Source organism: Homo sapiens, chromosome 5 (assembly GCF_000001405.40).
Source record: "Homo sapiens chromosome 5, GRCh38.p14 Primary Assembly".
Taxonomy (NCBI): Eukaryota; Metazoa; Chordata; class Mammalia; order Primates; family Hominidae; genus Homo; species Homo sapiens.
In genome coordinates, this window is record NC_000005.10 from 79,492,467 (window position 1) to 79,515,076 (window position 22,610).

At 42.1% G+C, this 22,610-nt stretch overlaps 1 protein-coding gene and 1 pseudogene across 4 annotated transcripts in view, besides 3 other annotated features; one reads left to right on the forward strand and one right to left on the reverse strand.

Annotated features, from left to right (window-relative positions):
- The window catches only part of HOMER1 (homer scaffold protein 1), a 141,499-nt gene extending 119,831 nt beyond the window's left edge, over positions 1–21,668 (reverse strand). For 2 of the 4 annotated variants that reach the window (NM_004272.5, XM_017010059.3), the window contains exon 1: positions 20,304–21,668. In NM_004272.5, the coding sequence (NP_004263.1) occupies positions 20,304–20,308 (5 nt within the window). In that variant the 5' untranslated portion in view covers positions 20,309–21,668. The remainder of the gene's footprint in view (positions 1–20,303) is intronic. The other 2 variants (NM_001277077.1, NM_001277078.1) reach the window with 1 other exon arrangement.
- RPL29P15 (ribosomal protein L29 pseudogene 15) lies at positions 17,921–18,551 on the forward strand (annotated as a pseudogene).
- Positions 21,241–21,950: a silencer, noted in NCBI's record as "silent region_16132". NCBI's record gives its function as "represses an Ori minimal core promoter by ATAC-STARR-seq in GM12878 lymphoblastoid cells {active_cell/tissue: GM12878}" and the evidence as "EXISTENCE:reporter gene assay evidence [ECO:0000049][PMID:35858748]".
- Positions 21,945–22,492: an enhancer, noted in NCBI's record as "NANOG-H3K27ac-H3K4me1 hESC enhancer chr5:78810234-78810781 (GRCh37/hg19 assembly coordinates)". NCBI's record gives its function as "activates a minimal SCP1, AML or CMV promoter by ChIP-STARR-seq in naive H9 embryonic stem cells {active_cell/tissue: H9 hESC(naive)}" and the evidence as "EXISTENCE:reporter gene assay evidence [ECO:0000049][PMID:30033119]".
- Positions 22,201–22,390: an enhancer, noted in NCBI's record as "active region_22725". NCBI's record gives its function as "activates an Ori minimal core promoter by ATAC-STARR-seq in GM12878 lymphoblastoid cells {active_cell/tissue: GM12878}" and the evidence as "EXISTENCE:reporter gene assay evidence [ECO:0000049][PMID:35858748]".

The following is a 22,610-nucleotide window of genomic DNA, read 5'->3' on the forward strand; positions in this document are numbered from 1 at the left end:
AACTTCTGTGACTTTCCTAACTATGAAAGAAGGAAAAAAAAAACCCACCGTATTAAAGAATCCCTATACACTTTGGTTCACACGAGCGCAAGTGCTTCGCATGTGGTATGTGTACTGAGCAGTAGCAGGAAATGGGAATATAAATATTAAACGCAGTCGCAGCCCTCAAAAGACCTCTAAGACTTTCCATAGGACTTGGTTTCAGGATGTTTTCCACAGAAAAGCCATCAAATGTTTAAAAAATTGGTGATATTTTGGCAAACTTAATACGTATTAGGTTGGTCTTCCAAGATAAGAAATGTTCTTTATAGAAGGAAAGGGGCCGCTAAGGGGGGAAAAAGTGATACGTATATTAAAATAACAGAATAGAACACTACAAAAATGCCATATACCCACTTCTTGCTTCATTTTCAGCAGAATGAAGAAAACGAAAACTTTGTCTTTTTTTTTTTTTTTTTTTTTTTTTTTTAAAGACAGAGTCTCACTCTGTTGCCCAGGCTGGAGTGCAGTGGCACGATCGTGGCTCAATGTAACCTCCGCCTTCCAGGTTCAAGCAATTCTCGTGCCTCAGTCTCCCAAGTAGCTGGAACTACAGGCATGCACCACCACACCTGGCTAATTTTTGTATTATTAGTAGAGACGGAGTTTCGCCATGTTGGCCAGGCTGGTCTTGAACTCCTGACCTCAGGCGATCGCCTGTCTCAGCCTCCCAAAGTGCTGGGATTACAGGCCTGAGCCACCGCACCTGGCTTGAAAATGAAAACCCTTCTAACTCTACTGTGCTCTTCAGGTACAATAATAACTAGATTTAGACGGCTTCAAGAACACCAGAATGTGTGGCTTCTAATCTCAGCTGGGACCTTTAAGCTCCTCAGCACTGTCTCCCATTCTTCCCTCTATTCCCAAGGCTCTGACCAACCTTTATATCCCTACACTTAGCAGATGGCCCTGCCTTTTATCATTCACTGGAATGTAAGCTCCATGAAGGCAAGGCTCTTTGTTCACAGATCTCATATACTTAGAACACCGCCTGACACATAACAGGTAATCAATGAATGTTTGTTAAAGCAATGAATGAATGGAGGAAACAGAGTCCATCAGCTAAGGAATTCCCTCAGTCTCCTTCTTTAACCTACAAACTATTCATATCCTTTCCTTCGGTCTATGAGGACAATATTTCTCCTACTGAAGGTTAACTCCTCCATCTGTGCTCCATATTGCATTCTCACCCATCTCTTTCTCAATAATTATCCCTCTCTACTCTAATATTTTAAATACACCTTGCCACAGACTCCTTTGCCAGATCCTAAAAGGAATGCTTAATCCCATTCTGTAAACAAAACCAAAAGAATTTCCTGAACCCTAGAGCTTGCTGAGCTACTATTTCAAAGATGCTTGGTCTTAAAGGAGAAGCAGACACATTTCTAGTGTCTGCTCCTCATCCTTCAACACCTTCACTTCATGGCAATTTGATTTCCACCCTACACTTCTCAAACTTCAAGGTAAGATTGTTAAAGGACCATTACTTATCCAATCTAATTATTTCTTGCCTCATTTGATGTTTCTGGTACATGTGATCCTGGCTACTACTCATTTCTTGAAACTCACTCCCTTTCTTGGCTCTTGTGACACTATTCTCACCTGACAGCTTTCTCAGCTGCCCCTTAAATGACTATTCCCAGAGATGCCTGATCTGCTCTTTTCTATAAATACCCTGCATGAGCTCATCCACATTCATAGCTCCAACCAAAAATTACACATTCTGATTCCCAAAACTCTATCCTCAGCCCAGTTCTCTTTTCCTGAATACCAGACCAATAATATCCAACTATAAAGCATTCCCACGGGGCTGACGACAAATATCTCAAGGTTCCTTCAATTTGTCATCTCACCTTGCTACAAACTTGTTTCTCTCCTCTTGGTTCCCTTTATCAACTAATGGCTGACCAAGGCAATCTCTTTTACCTCATAATATCTATCTAGATCACTGTCAACTCCTGTAGACATTACTACTTAAATCTCTTGAATTCAAGCCTTGTTCTACTCTGTTTCAATTCAAGCCATTACTCTTGACTAAATTGCTGCCATTAACCTATCTTGCAATTAAATTTGAGTGTTTCAGCTGGGTGCGGTGGCTCATGCCTGTAATCCCAACACTTTGGGAGGCCAAGGCGGGTGGAACACTTGAGGTCAGGAGTTCGAGACCAGCCTGACCAACATGGTGAAACTCTATCCCTACTAAAAATACAAAAATTAGCCGGGCATGGTGGCAGGTGCCTGTAATCCCAGCTACTCGGGAGGCTGAGGCGGAAGAATCGATTGAACCCAGGAGAAGGAGGTTGCAGTGAGGCAAGATCGTGCCATTGCACTCCAGCCTGGGCAACAAGAGTGAAACTCTTGCCTTCTCCAAGTCCAAAACTTCCTCCATATTGCAGCCTGAGTAGTTGATCTAAAATGCAAGCATGGTAATAACTACCAACTTAAAATTGTTCTGTTGCTCACCATTACTTAACAGCTTCTAAAGTCATATGCAGGAAGAAGTTACTATTCTCCTCTATCATTTCTATTTTTATATGTTTTATTATATACACATTAAATATCTATATATATTAACACAAAGAATACATGTAATTTTATAAATATACACATATGAAGGAAGATGTTCAAAATCTTTGATATGGGTACTGCATCAAAAATATTTGAAAACCATTAATCTAGAGGAAGAGTACAATCCTCTTAACATGACATAGTCATGATCTGGCCTCTATCCTTCTAGTCACATCTCCCTTAACTACCTTAACTTTCTAATTAGCATACTTCACCTCTGAAGCTTTACCTATGCCACCTCTCTACCTAAAATACCCTAACAACCACTCATACATCTTCCCCTCCCCCAACTCTTATTTGTTTGTTAAGGCTCAAAACAAACATGACTGGCTATGTGAAGCTTTCTCTGACCTTCCAAGGTGGAGGTGGGCACTTCCTTCTCTGTGCTACCAAACACAACATACATCTCTATTACAGCACTTAAATCACAGTATTGTAATTTTTTGTTTACATGGCTATCTACTTATCTTTGTACTACCAGTGCCTGGCATGACTCACGACACAAATTAAGTGCTTAACGTTTTTTACAAATGCTCATGAGGCACAGTGTTAGGAGACTGTAGCAACACCTTAGTTACCTGACACAGCTGAGTCAGTGCTCTGTTTTCCTTAGGTTTGGGTTGATGATCAATTTTAAGTTTTTAATTTTAACATGTGCTTACATCATGCATTGATTTTTCAGGTGTTGGTTACAGGGAGAGATTTTTAGAAAGCCAACACTTTATCATCCGCCAAATTCCAATCAATTAACTGTCAACAGTGTCAACACATTCTGAAAGATGCCTTATAGAAATTCAAAAGCTAAGGGCTCGGTGATTCTGGTCAAACATGGCAAATTAATTGTACTCATTTATCTTCCTTTTCCAAAATTCCACTAAAATGAAAGTTAAGGGGAGTGGAAAAAAAGGTATAAACCTATAACACCAAAGACTGTAAAAAGCAGCAGCAGTTCTTAAGTAACTTTAATACAGTTTTCAAAATGTATTAAAGATGGAAAATAGAAGGAATGGTGCCTGGTTTGACAAAACCAAGGAAACTATAATAAAAGTGCCTGCAAAGAGGGAACTAAGTGAACAACCTGCTGGCTAGAATTTAGAGGCAAAGGGACTGCAGAGGAGGTGTGAAGTATGCGACTGAAATGGAGGAACTGACTGAAAGTTTAAATAACAGAGCAATGAAATTCCCACCCCTTCCCACAGTCAATCAACTACCTTTTCCAATAGCAGAAGACAGGAGTGGGGCCTAAAATAGGAGCACCAGGAGAAAGGCTGCAAACAGAACCCTGTCCCCGCAAAAACCTTCCCATTCCTGGCTTTCAGATTACAGCAGATGATATGCCTCATAGGTATATAACAGAAGAATATACTTACCTTGCTCTCAGAATGTCAAGATTAGAACTCTACATTGGAAGAGTCTCCTCTAAAGAAAATGAAGTGTCATAGAAAAACTTACCATCTTAGACAATAGACCTCCCCAAACTTGGGGACCAGCCAAAAGAATTTTAGCCAGTTCACCACCTAAATATCTAAGATGAAGTCCACCAGTGACAGGCCTCACTGATTCACAAAAAGCTTTTAATCACCTTTTTATTATCATACACAGCTGAGGCTCACCAGATATTCCAGAATAGTTTCCAAAATGAAATAAGAAACTAAACGAACAAGAAAGGAACACAAAAGAAAGATAATTCCGCGAATAGAAAAATTTCTGGCCAGGCACGGTGGCTCATGCCTGTAATTCCAGCTCTTTGGGAGGCCGAGGTGGGTGGATCACTTGAGGCCGAGAGTTCGAGACCAGCCTGGCCAACATGATGAAACCCCATCTCTACTAAAAAATACAAAAATTAGCCAGTTGTGGTGGCATGCACCTGTAGTCCCAGCTACTTGGGAGGCTGAGGCAGAAGAATTGCCTGAACCCAGGAGGCTTCAGTGAGCTGAGATCATACCACTGCACTCTAGCCTGGGTAACAGAGTGAGACTTTGTCTCAAAAAAAAAAAAAAAAAAAAAAGGAAAGAAAGAAAGAAAGAAACATGTAGGCTTCAACGACACTGGACAAACTTAAGGATATCTAGACAGAATAACATAGAAGTAAGTAAGATGTCTTCTAAAAGCAGAAAACTTCAGAAGTCAAAGCAGTATCTGGTAGTTTAAAACCATACATTCAGAAATATCAAAAAGCAGAACTCTGACCAAGAAATGGGCATAACTGGTAAGTACTGTTAAAAGTAATCAGGTTTAAAAAGATTAGAGACCAGTTTCAAGTTGTCTTGGATATTTTCCCTTATAAAAAATAGAGCTGGGTGCAGTGGCTCATGCCTGTAATCCCAGCACTTTGGGAGGCTGAGGCGGGTGGATCACCTGAGGTCAGGATTTCGAGACTAGCCTGGCCAACATGGCAAAACCCCGTCTCTACTAAAAAATAAATAAATAAATAAATAAATAATTAGCCAGGCATGGTGTACTCATCTGTAATCCCAGCTACTCAGGGGACTGAGGCAGGAGAATCATTTGAACCCGGGAGGCGGAGGTTGCAGTGAGCCAAGATCGTGTACTGCAGCCCAGGAGACAGAGTAAGGCTCTGTCTCAAAGAAAAAAAAAAAAAAAAAAAAGGCAGCTTAATCAAGTTTTCCTCCCTTAGTTCAAACTTCTAGTTTTTGCAACTTCAAAAGGAAGGGGCAGCAAGCAAGCAAGCATGCTTCAGGAGTCACTGAAGCTTTTGAATGGACAAAAGTTTCTCACGTTTGATTTGTAAGCTTCACTTATCAAATGCAGTCACTCTCAAATAAGCTCCCTGGACCAGCAGCATCAGCATGCCCTGGGAATCTGTTAGAAGAGTAAATTCATGGACCCCATTCCTAGACCCACTGCATCAAAAACTCTGGTGGTAAAGGAAGTCCAGCAACCTGTGTTTCATCAAGGTCTCGAGGTGATTCTGATGCAGGTTCAAAATTGAGAACCACTGATCTAATAAGCATTTCTGCCACTGTCATACTAGACTCTGATGCTCTGGTCTTCCTTCTTCAGTCAAGAGTTAAAGCATTTCCAGGCCAAGTGCAGTGGCTCACCCCTGTAATCCCTGCACTTTGGGAGGCTGAGGAGGGCGGATCACCTGAGGCCTGGAGTTCGAGACCAGCCTGACCAACATGGAGAAACCCGTCTCTACTAAAAACACAAAATTAGCCGGGTGCGGTGGCACATGCCTGTATTCCCAGCTACTTGGGAGGCTGAGGCAGAATCACTTGAACCCAGGAAGCGGAGGTTGCAGTGAGCTGAGATTGCACCATTGCACTCCAGCCTGGGCAACAAGAGTGAAACTATGTCTCAAAAAAAAGAGTTAAAGCATTTCCAAACTGACTGTATCTGACCTACATTAGAGTATCACAGTTGCTAGTAGGAACTCAAAAAATGTTTGCTGAATAAGGGATCAGGCTTCAGATGTCTTTCTTTGGCCAGAGGGTTTTAAGAATACACTGGATATGAATGTTTTTAGGCAGGATCTCTTCTCTTCACTTTCCTACAGTCCCCACCAGTCCCTACTGTCTTCTACCTCATACTATCACACATTTTTCTGCTCAGCCAATGGCAGCATAAGAGTTTGAAAGCTCTGGGAAAAATAATTCCAAAAAATAATTTTAAATCTGGATACAATATGGTCCAACCTTCTCTTACAAGTGAGGAAATCAAGTAACTTACAACTACCTCGGGATGATTCAGAAATTGTACAATATGCTACAATTGGTCCTTCTACTTGCAGGTCTCCACTTTTTTTTTTTTTTTTTCAGACAGAGTCTCGCTCTGTCGCCAGGCTGGAGTGCAAAGTGGCATGATCTCGGCCCATTGCAATCTCCACCTCCCAAGTTCAAGCATTTCTCCTGCCTCAGCCTCCCGAGTAGCTGGGACTACAGGCGCATACCACCATGCCCAGCTAATTTTTGTATTTTTAGTAGAGACGGGGTTTCACTATGTTGGCCAGGATGGTCTTGATCTCCTGATCTTGTGATCTGCCCACCTCGGCCTCCCAAGGTGCTGGGATTACAGGCATAAGCCACCGTCCCCAGCCAAGTCTCCACTTTTAAGCTCCAGGAAAAATATTTCAAGATAGCGTCTCAAGCTTTCTTTTTCTGGTCTGAACTCTTTAGAAAACTAGAGCCTGCCTATGTATTATGTAAATAGATGCATAAGTATTCCAGAGGCTCATGTGCCCAATAACTACAAAGGTAGTTAACAAAGCTGACTGATGGAATTTACATTTTAATATCAACTTTGAAAACTCTATACCAAACACATGTAATAAATCATTTATGAGAAGTACTTTAATGTATTCAAAATACAGTTGACCCTTAAACATGGGTTTGGACTGCACCAGTATACTTACAATAATGTTTTATAATTGATTTTTTTCAATAAATATATTAGAAAAATTTTTGGGGATTTGCTGTAATTTGAAAAAACAGGTTAACTGCATACCTTAGAAGTATTGAAAAAAATAGAAAAAGGCATTATGAGTGCATAAAATATATGTAGATTCTAGTCTATTTTTTCATTTACTACCATAAAATAATACACAAATCTATTACAAAGAATTAAAATTTATCAAAACATAGGCAAAAAACTTACAGACCATACATGGCACATCTAGAAAAATGCAAATACACGTAAAGATGCAGTATTACATCATAGCATAACATTAACTAGTACATACTGTTCTACTGTAATAATTTGTAGCTAACTCCTGTTGCTATTGCAGTGAGCTCAAGTGTTCTGTCTGCTTAAAATGCCACAGTAAATTGTGTATCACAACAGTAAAATCACGGTTCTTGCATATTTTTCATCCTTTTTAGGGCAATACCATAAACTTTGAATAACACCACGAGACCCATATGAAGTGCCACTAGTGATGCTGGAAGTGCTCCCAAGAAGCAAAGTCATGCTATTACAAGAAAAAGCTGAACTGCCTGATATGTGCTGCAGATTGAGGTCTGCAGCTGTGGTTGCCTACCATTTCAAGTTAAAAGAACCCAGAGTAAGGACCATTGCAAAAAAGAAAATTTGTGAAACTATCTCTGTAGCTATACCAGCAGGTGCAAAAACCTTGCACTTTTTGCAAAATACCTTTTTATCTCATATTGAAAATGTGGCTTCTATGTGGGTGAAGGATTACTATTAAAAAAAACCACAGCTATTTAATATGAATCGAGAAAAAGCAGTTTTATGATAACATAAAGCAAAAAGAAGATGAAGGATCTAAAGCTAGAAAATTTAATGCCAGGAAAGGATGGTTTGATAATATTAGAAGAGCTTTGGCTTAAAAAATGTCCAGATAACAGGAAAACAGCTTCTGCCCACTAAAAGGTAGCAGATGAGTTCCCAGATACCATTAGGAAAATCACTGAGGAGAAAGGATATTTGTCTCAACAGGCTTTTAATGCAGATGCTTCTGTCACCACAGACGGCAAAACCAATCCCTCCTCTTCCTCAGCCTACTCAGTGTGAAGACAATGAAGATGAAGACCTTTAAGATGATTCACTTCCATGTAATAAACAATAAATATATTTTATCTTTTTTTTTTTCTGAGACAGAGTTTCTCTGTCACCCAGGCTGGAGTGTAATGGTATGATCTCAGCTCACTGCAACCTGTCTCCCAGGATCAAGCGATTCTTATGCCTCAACTTCCTGAGAAGCTGGGACTACAGGCGTGCGCTACCACACACAGCTAATTTTTGCACTTTTAGTAGAGATGGGGTTTTGCCATGTTGGCCAGGCTGGTCTCAAACTCCTGGCCTCAAGTGATCCGCCCGCCTCAGCCTCCCAAAGTGCTGGGATTATAGGCGTGAGCCACTGCACCCAGCCATTTGTGTGTGTGTGTGTGTGTGTGTGTGAGACAGACAGACACACACACACACACACACACACACACACAAGGTCTGGCTCTATTACCCAGGCTGCAGTGCAGTGGCAGGATCTCAGCTTACTGCATCCTCTGCCTCCCAGGCTCAAGCCATCCTCCCACCTTGGCCTCCCCAGTAGCTGGGACTACAGATGTGTACCACCAAGCCTGGCTAATGTTTGTATTTTTTGTAAACACTGGTTTTCACCATGTTGCCCAGGCTGGTCTCGAACTGGTAAGCTCAAGCCATCTGCCTGCCTGGGCCTCCCAAAGTGCTGGGATTACAGGCGTGAGCCACCACGCCTGGCTCCTTTTCTTAATAACACTTTCTTTTCTTTAGCTTACTTTATTGTACGAATACAGCATATAAAACATATAACATACAAAATATGTGTTAATCAACTGTTTATGTTATTGATAAGGCTTCCAGTCAACTGTAGGCTATTAGTAATTAAGCTTTGGGAGAGTCAAAAGGTAAATGTGAGTTGGTGGGGCAATTAGTACCTCTAACCCCCACCATGTTCAAGGGACAATTGTATAATGCATTATGCGAGACTTACTTACACTAAAATTAAAATGCAGCTTTTTTCAGTACCATCTGTAAGGAAAACAAGATACATTTAATGAACTCACCTATAAGAAACTAAGTTTGCAGTAAAATTAAGTCGTTGTAAACTACTATAAGGAGTTAGAAACCCTTCTCCAAATGAATCTGTATCTATGCAAGCATTCACTGAGGAGCACCTGCTCTAATGGTAAGAGCCCCAAGGAGCTGGGGGAATCCAGCACATGATCTGCCATGTCAAAGCTATATTACCTCCCATAGTCACAATTTCCCTTTGGGCTGCGTCTCCTTCTCCATAAAAAGTACAGTTTAGTGCTAATACTCTAATAACTGACAAGAGAAATACTCCTTACATTTAAACAAGTTTTGCTAGCACTAGAGTAACTACTTCTTTAGCCAATCTTGAAAAGAATAAGATAAAATTTGAGATAAAGCTAAAATTGATACAAATATATGTAAGTATCTAGATGTAAGAACAGTAACAGGTCCTGATAATTTTTTTTTTTTTTTTTTTGAGACAGTCTCATTCTGTCACCAGGCTGGAGTTCAGTGGCGCGATCTTGGCTCACTGCAACCTCCACCTCCTGGGTTCAAGCAATTCTCCTGCCTCAGCCTCCCAAGTAGCTGGGATTACAAGTGCACACCACCACGCCCAGATAACTTTTGTATTTTTAGTAGAGATGGAGTTTCACTATGTTGGCCAGGATGGTCTCGATCTCCTGACCTGGTGATCTGCCCGCCTTGGCCTCCCAAAGTGCTGGGATTACAGACGTGAGCCACCGCGCCCAGCCAGTCCTGATAACATTTTACTGTAATAAATATTTTTTTTAAAACCCTCACTCTTAAAACCCAAGAGAAGTTCTCTTTTTAATACCCTCACCCTTAAAACCCAAGAGAAGTTCTAAAACTTAATATGTTCATTATAGAGAAACTACAAGATTGAGAAAGACTAAAAAACAAAATTTTACAATCTTACCTCCCAGAAATAAACATGGTAGCGCTTTTATGAGTCTCTTTCAAACGTTTTTATGCATATACAGAATTTTATATACTTGAGGTCATACAGAACATCTAATTTCGTATCCTGATTTCTAATTGACCACTGTACCATCTTTGAAAACATTCTTTGGGATAGCTTCTACCACATGAATAGCCTATAATGTAACAACCTAGATTTTACACTGACTACTCAGAATATACAGTTAACCCTTGAACAATTTGTGAGTTAAGGGCATTGACCCATGCTCAGTAAAAAATCTGCATGTAACTTTTTTGTGTGTGTGTGAGACAGTCTCGCTCTGTCGCCCAGGCTGGAGTGCAGTGGCGCAATCTCAGCTCACTGCAAGCTCCGCCTCCAGGGTTCACGCCATTCTCCTGCCTCAGCCTCCCGAGTAGCTGTGACTACAGGCGCCCGCCACCACGCCCGGCTAATTTTTTGTATTTTAAGTAGAGACAGGGTTTCACCGTGTTAGCCAGGACGGTCTTGATCTGACCTCGTGATCTGCCCGCCTTGGCCTCCCAAAGTGCTGGGATTACAGGCGTGAGCCACTGCGCCCAGCCTGCATGTAACTTTTAACTCCTCAAAAACTTTACTCATAACCTATTGTTGACTGGAAACCTTATTGATAACGTAGTCAATTAACACATTTTGTATGTGTATTATATACTGTACTCATACAATTAAGTAAACTAGGGAAAAATAAAACATGTTATTAAGAAAAGCAGGCCAGGCATGGCGGCTCACGCCTGTAATCCCTACACTTTGGGAGGCTGAGGCAGGCAGATCACTTGAGGTCAGGAGCTCGAGACCAGCCTGGAAAACACGAAATCCCGTCTCTACTAAAAATACAAAAATTAGCCAGGCTTGGCAGCATGCGCCTGTAATCCCAGCTACTCAGGAGGCTGAGACAAGAGAATCACTTGAACCCAGGAGGCGAGATTGCAGTAAGCCAAGATCATGCCACTGCACTCCAGCCTGGGTGACAGAGTGAGACTCTGTCACAAAGAGAAAAAAAAAAAAAAAAAAAACAGAGGCCAGGTGCCATGGCTCACGCCTGTAATCTCAGCACTTTGGGAGGCTGAGGCAGGTGGTTCACCCGAGGTCAGAAGTTCAAGACCAGCCTGGCCAACATGGCAAAACCCCGTCTCTATTAAAAATACAAAAATTAGCTGGGTGGGATTCAGCAAGACTCTGCCTCCAAAAAAAAAAAAAAAGAAAGAAGAAAATCATAAGTAAGAGAAAATGTATTTACTATCCATTAAGTGGAAGTCGATCATCATAAATATTCTTATCTTCATCTTCACATTGAGCAGGCTGAGGAGGAAGAGGAGGAAGGGTTGGTCTTGCTGTCTCAGGGGTGACAGCAGTGGAAGAAACTCTGCATTTAAGTGAACCTACACAGTTCAAACCTGTGTTGTTCAAGGGCATCTGTACTAAAATGTTGCAAAATACAATTAAACAGCAATGTCATCATTAATGTCTATTTCCACTATACTAACATATGCATAGCAATAAATATCAATTTAACAATAGTAAAATACTAAATGAAAGCAACAATGAAATACACAACTAAAATCTTACAGATCATCACTTGGGTAAGGAAAACAGCAGCCTGCGAGATCTAGAATTTTTTTTTTTAAATCAACAGAATCTCAAGAAAGACGAGTTTAAGAGTGACTTGGGAGTAGTCCCACTGAGCTTAATGTATACAGAACCCTGGCAATACTCAGTAAACAAGAGTAGGAGGAATCCTCAATCTGTAAACATCCTGGGAGCTGGCAGAGTGATTAAGCAAAGCACACAAATTTTAATGTTAAAAGCCATGAGACAGTGATTCATAACAGAGTAAGAAAGAAAACAGCACTGTTTTACAAAAGAATAAGCAAAAAAAAAAAAAAGGGCACAGAAAGGTAAAGGGATAGGCTAAGCAACTTAAATATTATAATAGGTTCAAAATATTTGTCCCATATACATTTAGGAATGTACAGACTTATCTTCCAGGAAGACTGACTGATAGAAATTCCTAATATGAGTATTTTGAGGTCTTTGATAGTCATGTCCTAAAGATCATTACTAAGAGCCAATGAGGGAAGCTAGAAAGTAACTGGGCAGAAAATTCCAACTCACACAAAGAAAGTCTTGTTCAGAACAACTCTTATAAATACTTAAATAAAACAGAAGAAAGACAATAACTACTTAAGATTGAGATATACGTAAATATAAAAGAATCCAAAAATTTACTTAGAAAAATTATCAGAAAAATAATTGGTATATCCAACTATCGGCCTAATTGCTAGAAATCAGGATTTTCTATTTATGAGCACTAATTCCCCCAAATCCTTTCAACTAATATTGCACATATGTACTGCACTATGAACTTGTGGGTTAGGAAGCACAGCGTATAATACCCAAAGAGATATGTATCAGAGCTATGTCTCTCAGTAGACTTCTATTAAGACTCCCCAACTAGGCTGGGCACAGTAGCTCATGCCCATAATCCCAGCACTTTGAAAGGCCAGGGTGGGTGGAGCACTTGAGGTCAGGACCAACATGATGAAACCCCATCTCTACCAAAAATACAAAAATTAGCCAGGTGTGGTGGTGCACCTGTAGTCCCAACTACTCCGGAGGCTGAGGCAGGAGAATCATCTGAGCCTGGGACATGGAGGTTGCAGTGAGCTGAGATGGTGCCACTTCACTCCAGCCTGGGTGACACAGCAAGACTCTGTTTCAAAAAAGACTCCCCAACTAGACAATGAGAAATTAGGAACAAACCATTCTATGGAAAGGGGGGGAATCATGGACATTCTCCTCTACAGGCCTCTGGACTCTGAGGCATGTGACCACATGGATCCAGACATGCCAATAGACATGACATAATAAACATGACTTTCAATGATCTTGTAAAGTAATGAAATTGTGTTCCCTAAGCACAGTTTTTTGTTTGTATTTAATGTCTACCTAACTCTTGCTTGGTAATTTTACAGAAAGCCCTCAATTCTTACAACTTTTGTGCCTTGAGGACATGGTGCCAACACTTCTCAAAAGATAACATTGAAACTCTTCTTGTTTTATGAAAGAACATTAAAATAAGATGTTCGTAAAGCCAAGCTAATTTTTAAAGCTAATATTAATATTAGGTGTTAAGAGATAAAGGTGATTTTTTAAAAGGTAGAGAAAATGAAAAGGTAAGTGTACTATGAAGATAAAACATTGATTAGATTACTGGTTTTGGGGGGTTTTATAAACAATTTTATTTTCTGATACAAGACAGAAAACAATGACTTTTTGCCTTCCTTTAGTAGTCTACCTTAATAGAAAAAAACATAAATAAGGGTAAATAAGATTCAGTTATTAACTAAGTCAAATGTTAGTTCTATGTATAAAATTATTTTAGCTACGCAAGAGCCATACTGGCTTCACAATCCATTTTTGGGCGGACAAAACCTCACTGAAAGAATAGTAAAAAAGATGACCCTATAAAATTAATTCTATTATCTGAAATGTTTAGCAGACAAAAAAAATTAAATTAATTCTAAATTGTACTTACCAGAGAAGTGAACAAATTTTTAAAAACTTTTATTTATTTATTTATTTATTTTTTTGAGATGGAGTTTCCCTCTGGTTGCCCAGGCTCAAGTGCAATGGGGCAATCTCGGCTCACTGCAACCTCCGCCTCACAGGTTCAAGCGATAAAAACTTTCAAAAACAAGATTTTAAAAAATCCAAGTAGAAGAAAAAGGCAAAGCAAAAAAGATTATATGTGTTGATAATTTCCCTCAAAAATACTGCTTAAAACAAACAGCATTGATTCTTATCAGTTTCATCTTTTTTTCCTTTCTCAGACATTTCATGAAGGAGCACAGAAATGACAAATGTGTTACACTCAGGACAGACGGAAAAAGGAGTATCAAAAGGTATGAAATGCTAAAATTAAGAACATAAGTTCATCAATAAAGTTGACTCTTTTAACAGAGAGTCATTATGGATGTCCTAATTTTATAGACTATGGAGAGGCGTGCTGTAAAAATTAAGATTAAAATACATGATTTTGGCCAGGCGTGATGGCTCACAGCAAGGCAGACGGATCACTTGAGTTCAGGAGTTCAAGACGAGCCTGGGCAACATGATGAAACCCCATGCCTACAAAAAGTACAAAAATTAGCCTGCCATGGTGGTGTGAGCCTATAGTCCCAGCTACTCGGGAGTCTAAAGTAGGAGGATTGCTTGAGTCTGAGAGGTCAAGGCTGCAGTAAGCCATGATGGCACCACTGCACTCCAGCATGGGCCACTGCACTGTCTCAAAAACAAAACCAAACAAACAAAAAAATATATATATATATGATTTTATTCACATACTGAAGACCATTGAATGATTAGCTTTTAAAAAGTTTTACCTACTCTTGGCAGGGCGCGGTGGCTCATGCCTGTAATCCCAGCACTTTGGGAGGCCGAGGCAGGCAGATCACGAGGTCAGGAGTTCGAAACCAGCCTGGCCAATACGGTGAAACCCCGTCTCTACTAAAAAATGCAAAAATTAGCCAGGTGTGGTGGCGCGCACCAGTAGTCCCAGCTACCTGGGAGGCTGAGGCAGGAGAAATGCTGGAACCCGGGAGGCGGAGGTTGCAGTGAGCCAAGATCGCGCCACTGCACTCCAGCCTGGGTGACAGAGTGAGGCTCTATCTCAAAAAAAAAAAAAAAAAAAAAAACCAAAACAAAAAAAAAACAGTTTTACCTACTCTTGCAATACTCATTCAGTAAGATAGATGTGAAAATTTTATCTCAATTCTTCTAGATGGTAGATGGGCTAAAATCTAAATAAATATTCCTTATCACATGTAGATTCTTTTGAAATGAACATATTTAACAGACCTGAAACTTTGCAATGCCTCAAAATCACTCAACTTTTCAAAAACAAACAGAAATATTAGCCACGGGTCATAAGGCATTACAAATATGCAACACAAAAAAACTGCACATTTCATTCCACGAGATACGACCTGAGATATAAATCTATGTAAAATGTTTTATAGTCATTTAAAAACTACATCAGAAAAAAATTATATCAGAAAACATTAAGCACTCGGCACTCATTTTCCCTACTCTTCTGTCCAGTTAGTCATATTAATCTGAAATAACAATCCAGTAACTAAAAATAAATACTTCAACTAAACACTAAAGACTGAAAAAAAAAAAAATCACATGGCAGTAGAGAGGTTAGACCTTTTGGGATATAACCACCTTTTCTTCTGAGATGTTTAATCACTCAAAACTATAAACTATGAATAAGGACAGTTTCTTCTGTCAACCCCTTAACTCCCAAATTCACTATTTTATGACCCATAGTTAGTGACTCTGCTAAGAACATACCATGCTCTTTGCTACATTCTTACCTCTCCAATGAAATGTCCTAATTCTGAAAAAGCCCCGTTCAGCCAACTACACATCTCTCAGTCACCATCCCTCCCCTCCCCACTTCGGAACCTTCCAGGGCCTGCCCAACTGTCCACTTCCTCTACCCAGCCAGAGTTCATTGTTCTGGCTTGGTGTTTCCACAGGATACAAGACACAAAACCAAATTGTAAATGATTTTTAAAATTGCTTTCTTATTCTACTTCCCTGATCATGTTCTTACTCTGCTTAAAACCCTTTAGTAATCTTCACACAGAAGAGAAGTGCTTTTCAAATTACCAGTTGCTAACACAGCGTCATTAAATAAATTGAGTGGGTCACCATCATCAGTCTATCTTAAAAATAAAATAGAACGGAACAGAATAGAAACTACCAGAGTGTACCATACAAAGCAAGGGTATTATGTAGTGACATTTTATCATTTATATACAAGCATATTGGGTTGCAATGTAAAGATGCTTATCTTTCCAACGGGTCATAGCCAAAAAAACCTCTAAACACACTAAACTACAGGATAATCCAATCTTTCATTTGATCTACATGGTTCTCCAACCCAGTCCCTGCATAATAAGGCTCTAGACCTATCTCTTGCTACACCAAAGGGAGCTAGCTCAAGCAAACAAGCTTGTCATGCCAAACTCCTTTGCAGTTCCTCGTTTTAGTGGTGTCAATCACTGTTCTCTCTGCCTTGAATGCCCTCTTATTTGTCTAAGAGGCTCACTTGTACTCATCTTTCAGTATTTAACAACTATCACCTCCTCTACAAAGCCTTTTTATCCTTCCCTCAGCAGCTAATGCCCCCCCAACACACACTTTGTGTCTCCATAATGCCCTACATTATAGCTCCTACAAAATTTCATTGCACATTTTAATTTTAGGCTTGACTGTCTGCCCAACTTCCAAAGTATAAACTCACTAAGGGAAGGAGCACATTGTATTGGCCTTCCTATCAGCAGCACTGAGGTAAGTACACGCACTATAACAAAGGTTCAAAGTTGGTAAAATGAACAAATGACGAATTAAGGACTTGCATCTAAGTTGTCTATTGTCAGATATGATAGGGTGGTTATCTTTGCAATAAAACCCATTTATAGTGCTGGATCAAGATTTTCACATTTTTGCTACAACCCCTAGAGAGCAGAACCCTGCAGTTTGAGGCAGAAGGAGGTGTCAGCTTCCCATCTTTCAGCAAAGAGACTCAGTTTGGGCTGCAATGTAGCAGCACTCATTTCCATGCTTCTGGAAGTTATTTGGGGAAAGAGGGGAAGGAAGGACTCCAGAAGTTCCCATAGGCAGGTGAGATAAATCAGAAACAGCATTAACAGATTCCATTAGCAGGGAGAGCCCCATTTTATGTATAAGTAGCTCTTAATAAGGGAAGGGAGGGAAAGAATTCTTTACCATTGCTGATGGCACTAGGTTGCCAAAATGAGCTAAGTAAAAACAAAGGGTTTCATGAAATAAGTGGTTGAAGTTACTTGATTTCTGTTGCCTACTGTGATAGTTCTGAAATAGCTACTGACTCACTGCTGTCATTATGAGATACTATTTGGAGGTGGGGGTGGGGGTCATACCTAACAGGGGCTCCTCACTGAGGCTTCAAAACTTTTCAGAGACTTCATTTTACATACATGAATGCCTTAATTTTTAGGGGATCTGATACACCTATTTTACAAACCCATACTTTAGTTGCCTTCACTGCAATTAACAGTTCATGCAACATCCAAGATACTTTGACAGACTTTGCCAACTGTCAAGTTTCAGCTGTTCTTCTCCATTTCCAAAAAGTTCATAAACTACTATTAGGGGAGCCATAATTTTTTTCTGCCCAATCACTGATTTTATTAAAAATAATTCCTTTGCTTAGACTGCCCCTAGACTTGCAATAATTATCTACAATTAAGACGAAGATAAATCCTTATTATAACCTAACATTAGTTTAAAAAAAGAAGGTTGTAATATGTGAAACACTTTACCCACAGTATTAAATTTTAGATATCTATTACAGTAAGGTAATTATGGATTGCCAAGGTAAAGCTTTAAAAGCCATTTAAAGCCCTGTTTCCTTTTGCTTGAAATAGGTCCAGGCAGCTATGCTAATTCCACAAACATTTATTAGGCATAAATACGCATAAAGTGTGGAAACGTCAGCAAATGCCTTTGCTGTATGCTCTTCTACTTCCATCTACCCTTCCTCTCTCTACTCAAGTCACTATCAATGAGAAAGGGTCATAGCCCCAAATACAGGCTTTCCAAAAAAAAAAAAATAGCACCACAAAATGCTCGCTCCTTTTTCTCCTCAGTCCATATATAGAACTTTATTAACTAAAGGGCAGATACATTCATTTATAAACAAATTAATTATGCTAAGTGTCTAAATGCATGTTATGTGTGGTGCTAACTTTCCCACTTTAAACAACAGCCCCCTTAGTATTAAATTCATCCTGTCTCTTCAGATTCTAGGCGCTTCAGGAGCCGCGCCTTAAGGTGCAGACATGGCCAAGTCCAAGAACCACACCACACACAACCAGTCCCAAAAATGGCACAGAAATGGTATCAAGAAACCCGAAGCACAAAGATACGAATCTCTTAAGGGGGTGGACCCCAAGTTCCTGAGGAACATGCAGTTTGCCAAGAAACACAACAAGAAGGGCCTAAAGAAGATGCAGGCTAACAGTGCCAAGGCCATGAGTGCACATGCCAAGGCTATCAAGGCCCTCCTAAAGCCCAAGGAGGTTAAGCCCAAGATCCCAAAGGGTGTCAGCCGCAAGCTCAACTTGCCTACACTGTCCACCCCAAGCTTGGGAAGCATGCTCGTGCCCGCATTGCCAAGGGGCTCAGGGTGTGCTGGCCAAAGGCCAAGGACAAGGATCAAACCAAGGCCCAGGCTGCAGCTCCAGCTTCAGTTCCAGCTCAGGCTCCCAAAGGTGCCCAGGCCCCTACAGAGGCTTCAGAGTAGATATCTCTATCTGCCAACGTGAGGACAGGACTGGTGCGACCCCCCGCCAGGCTGCCATCTGCATGGGGCTGTGGGGCTGGGGTCCTCCTGTGCTATTTGTACAAAGAAACCTCAGGCAGGGAAAAAAAAATTCATCCTAAGCTTCCCTTGGTAAAATGACAGGCATTCATGCAGCTTAAAGGTTCTGGAAAACTGATTTTCTTCCATGATGCTACTACTCCACAGTCTAGACAAAATGCAGCCATCAACATGAAAAACTGCTGCTTGATTTTTTTTCCTCCAACATGTTTTAAACAGAGCTGCAGATGCTCAAGGGAAGCCATATTTCTAAGGTTTTGAACAGTAGTATTTTTCAGTATTTTTCTCATTTAAAATTGGTGCAATTCATCCAAAACATTTTTCAAATGCCATTATTTTTCAGCGTTAAGCGCTTAAACTGCTTAGAGTGAAAAAGGTCTCCATCAGAAAGATCGACTTGCAGAAACCAACTAGTGATCATTAAAATGAGGAGGAGAATAAAAAGAAAGCAATTCGTTTTTTACAGTTTGGAGAAATCTTTAAGTCATCTCTAAATCGTTCATTTTACAGGTAAGAAATAGAGTCCACAGAGGTCAAGTAATTTGCCTCAGATCACTAAGCTACTAATAGCAGCGCTAGAAATAGAATGAGGTATTTTAATTACTCTTAGCGGTACCCCCAAATCATGCAAGTTATATATATTCTCATCACTTGTCATTCAAGTTTTTAAAACCATTATAACTTTGTCATTAATTTCTGAGGAACGTCTCCTACAACATGCTCTAAATTTTCAAAGTTATGCATGTTAAACTTCAAATTCTAACTCCAAAAGGAAGGTACTATTCAAGAACTTTCCTCAGAAAGTTTCAAGCGTGTGTACACACCTAAACCATCACGATGAATTGCAGAGTCCATTCTTTAAAACATGCCCCTCAACTACACTTCAGATGTGTTTGTTCAACCACACACACACAAAAAGAGAAAATTCTGGAAGTTCTTCTGCCAAAAAGCAGTGACAACCTGTCAATGAAATCAGATTGCTCCATTAATATATTATGGGTTTCCAGCTTAAATTAGGAAGTGTCACTAGCATTTCATCAACCCACAGTGTGAAGAGTTAATAAAAGACTGGAAAATGCACTCTCAGTTGGCTCTGGGTCCGAAGGAAGGTGTAGATCTGATACTGTTAACTCAAACTGAAGGGCTGAGCTTAAAAGCGAAAAACAAAAGGAGTGAACAAGTTCCTTAAACAAAAAGCTTTTTCCTACGAAATGCACCCGTACCGTGGTGACCGCATCAGTAAGACTGAATTTCAGATTTTCGTTTTAACGCCCCAGTAAATCAATTCTATACATTTTAGCTTTGAATATTCAAGGACAAGACAGAGGGCACGGTGAGGGCAACAATTTACTCTGGATCACTTTCAAGGACTGTTGTCTAACCACTCATTAAAATCGTTCCTTTGTGCAACTGATTATCTAAAAGTACTGAGAGAATGCAGTACTTCTCTTTGAAAGATAACCGTCAGCAAAAGCTAAAATAATGTGATTTTGATTACAAACTGATGCAGCAGTCTGACCAGTAAAGTGTAGAATGCGTTGTCTTTGTAAACATTACTCACAAATCCATATTCAAGTTACAAACGATATATGTGTTTTTAAATTATGACCTCTGGTACCGCTCTACAAAAATGCAAAAATAACCTAAAAGGTTAGCATGCCTATTTCTTTAAAGTATGACCAGCTTAGCAAGGTGGCAAGTTTGTTTGAAAACACAAAACACAATCACCACCACCGCTCAATAATACACATACATAAACAGATTCGAAGCTGTGTTAAGCACAAAAATCCTTACCCCATTTTGCCCAATGAAAACTTGCTCTGAAGTTTCAGCTCTTATGCTACGGAATAACTTCCAAAGGAATTTCTCCGTCTGCTATTTCGCAGTTGCTTTTCCACCCCCACCCCCAGATCCTTGTCCGGAGGTATTTCAAGGATGCTGCCAATTCAATTAGTTCTCTTAGGTAAAATGATTTCTCTCTTGTAAATACCAAAACGTTCAAACAGAGGCGGCATTTGCTTATTCGAGTTAAAATGCTTTGCGGAGGAGACAGCGATCAACTCTATTCCACAAAATGAGTCTACAAGTAGGGAAATGCAGAATCCGGCTTCACCGAGTCCTATAAAAAATGAGTTCGCTGGTCATTTCACTCATGTCCTCCTCGACACTCAGGGAGAGCCAGGTAACTCGGCCTTTTCGGAGCTAAGGCTGCGGGTTCAAATTTCTCCACCACACCAGGTCTCCGGGGGTGGAGCGAGCAACCAAACGCGACGTGCACGTGAATAAAAATCCCAAAAGCAGTAATGCCACGGCTTCCCTGCGCTCACATTAGGAAAAAAACTACACAGGAAAATCTCCTCGAAGTGCAAACCCGGCAGCTCGCAACCTGCACGGCACTCCACATTGGAATCTGTCTTTTTAAATGTTTCTCCTCCTAAGACTCGGAGCAGAGAAGAGGTGGGGAGGACGAAGAGAAGGCTAGGCAGGATCGATTCATTCTCCCGAAGAGAATAAACGGAGCCATTTCCAGGCTGGCAGCAGGCTGGGGGCGCAGCGCACGCCGGAGAGCTGGAGGAGGGGACCCGATCCCACCTCCCTCAGCCCCTTCCCGCCCCCCGCCGCCGAGCACAATGGAGCCCGGCTGGTGCCCGGCCCTTCATTCGCGGCTGCCCCCTCTTCCCTCCTCTCTTCAGAGCACAGCGGGTCTGAGGCTCCCGTCGGCGGAGAATGAATGAATCACAGAGCCAAGCCCCACGCTTCCACTGGCACCCTGCCCCCAGCTCCAGGGCGGGCGAAAGGGGCCGAAGGGTCGACGGGCGCCTGCCCGAGCCAAGGCGGGAGGCTAAGCCCGCGTTGGGGCCAGGAGAGCTGGGCTCGAAGCCGAAGCGCAGCCGCCGCTCCAGCGCCCCCACCCCTACTCCTCGTCTCTCACGCTCCGCGCCGCCGCCACGCGCCGCCTCACATTCCCCGGGCCCCGCCGCCGCCTCTTCACACTTCCATCAGCGCCCGCCTCCGGCTACCGCCGGGCAGAGCAGCGCCAGCCCCGGCGGCCTGAAGCCTGCCGCTGCCTCCGCCTCCGCCGGCCGGCCGGCTGGCAGAGAAGAGGGTGCTGCTTTCCCGGTCAGCGCCGCCGGCGTGAAGCTAGCGCGGCGGCAGAGTGGGCTGCGGGGGGCGGGAAGGGGGCGGAGAGAACGGGGAGCGAGGGCGGTCCCTCCCTCTGCTCGCGGGAAGGGACGGGAGGCGGTGGCCGCCGCGGAGCCGCGGCCGGGGGCTGGGGCGCGGACTGGTCCCGGGAGCCCGACGGGCCTTGCGAGCAGCGGGCCGCGGGAGAAAGCAGCAGCCGCAAGGCGGCGGAGAGGCTGATGGTGGGGGGCCGAGCGGCCCTCGTGGGGAGCTGGGCCGGCGGCAGGCCCTCAGTCCGTTCGTCCTTCTTTTCCCCCCTCCCCTAGAGGCTGGCGGCTGGCTGGCCGTGCGCTCTGCTCCTCCTCTGGCTCTTGGCCCCGCTCCCGACCGCCACAGCCTCCTCCGCGCCCCACACCAGGTGCTCGCGCTGTGTCTCCATCCTCCCCGCAGGAGGACCTTTAAATAGCAACGTCAGCGCGCTTCTCTCCGCACACACGTCACCCGCAGCTCACGTCACCGAGGTGCGGGGGATGATGTCACGCGGCCGGAAGTACTGCTAAATTAGGGAAGGAGCAGGGGGAGGAGGACTCGGCGAGCTCCTGTGTGCCCACCTGCTCTCACTTCTCCTTAAAGGCCAAAGCACAGGAGACAGCCCGAGAGGAGCTCGAACAAGGAAGCGGCGGGAGGAGGAGATTTCCTTGCAACAAATGTGCCAAACCTGAGTGAATCATTCGTAGCAAAAGTGCAGTGTCAAGCGGGTAATAGCCTATCTCCCACTCCCACCGCTATTGCAGCAGCACCCCCGGGCTTCTCTTGTCCTGACTAGCAGGGAAATGTGGGAGGGAGAGCCTGATCACACTGCTGGTAGATGTGCTTCCAACAGGACTTCGGAAAAATCACCTAAATTTTCAATTATAGAGTGCCATTCTGGACATAGTCGACTTTTAAACTTTTTGTTAGTGGTTACCTGAAACACGA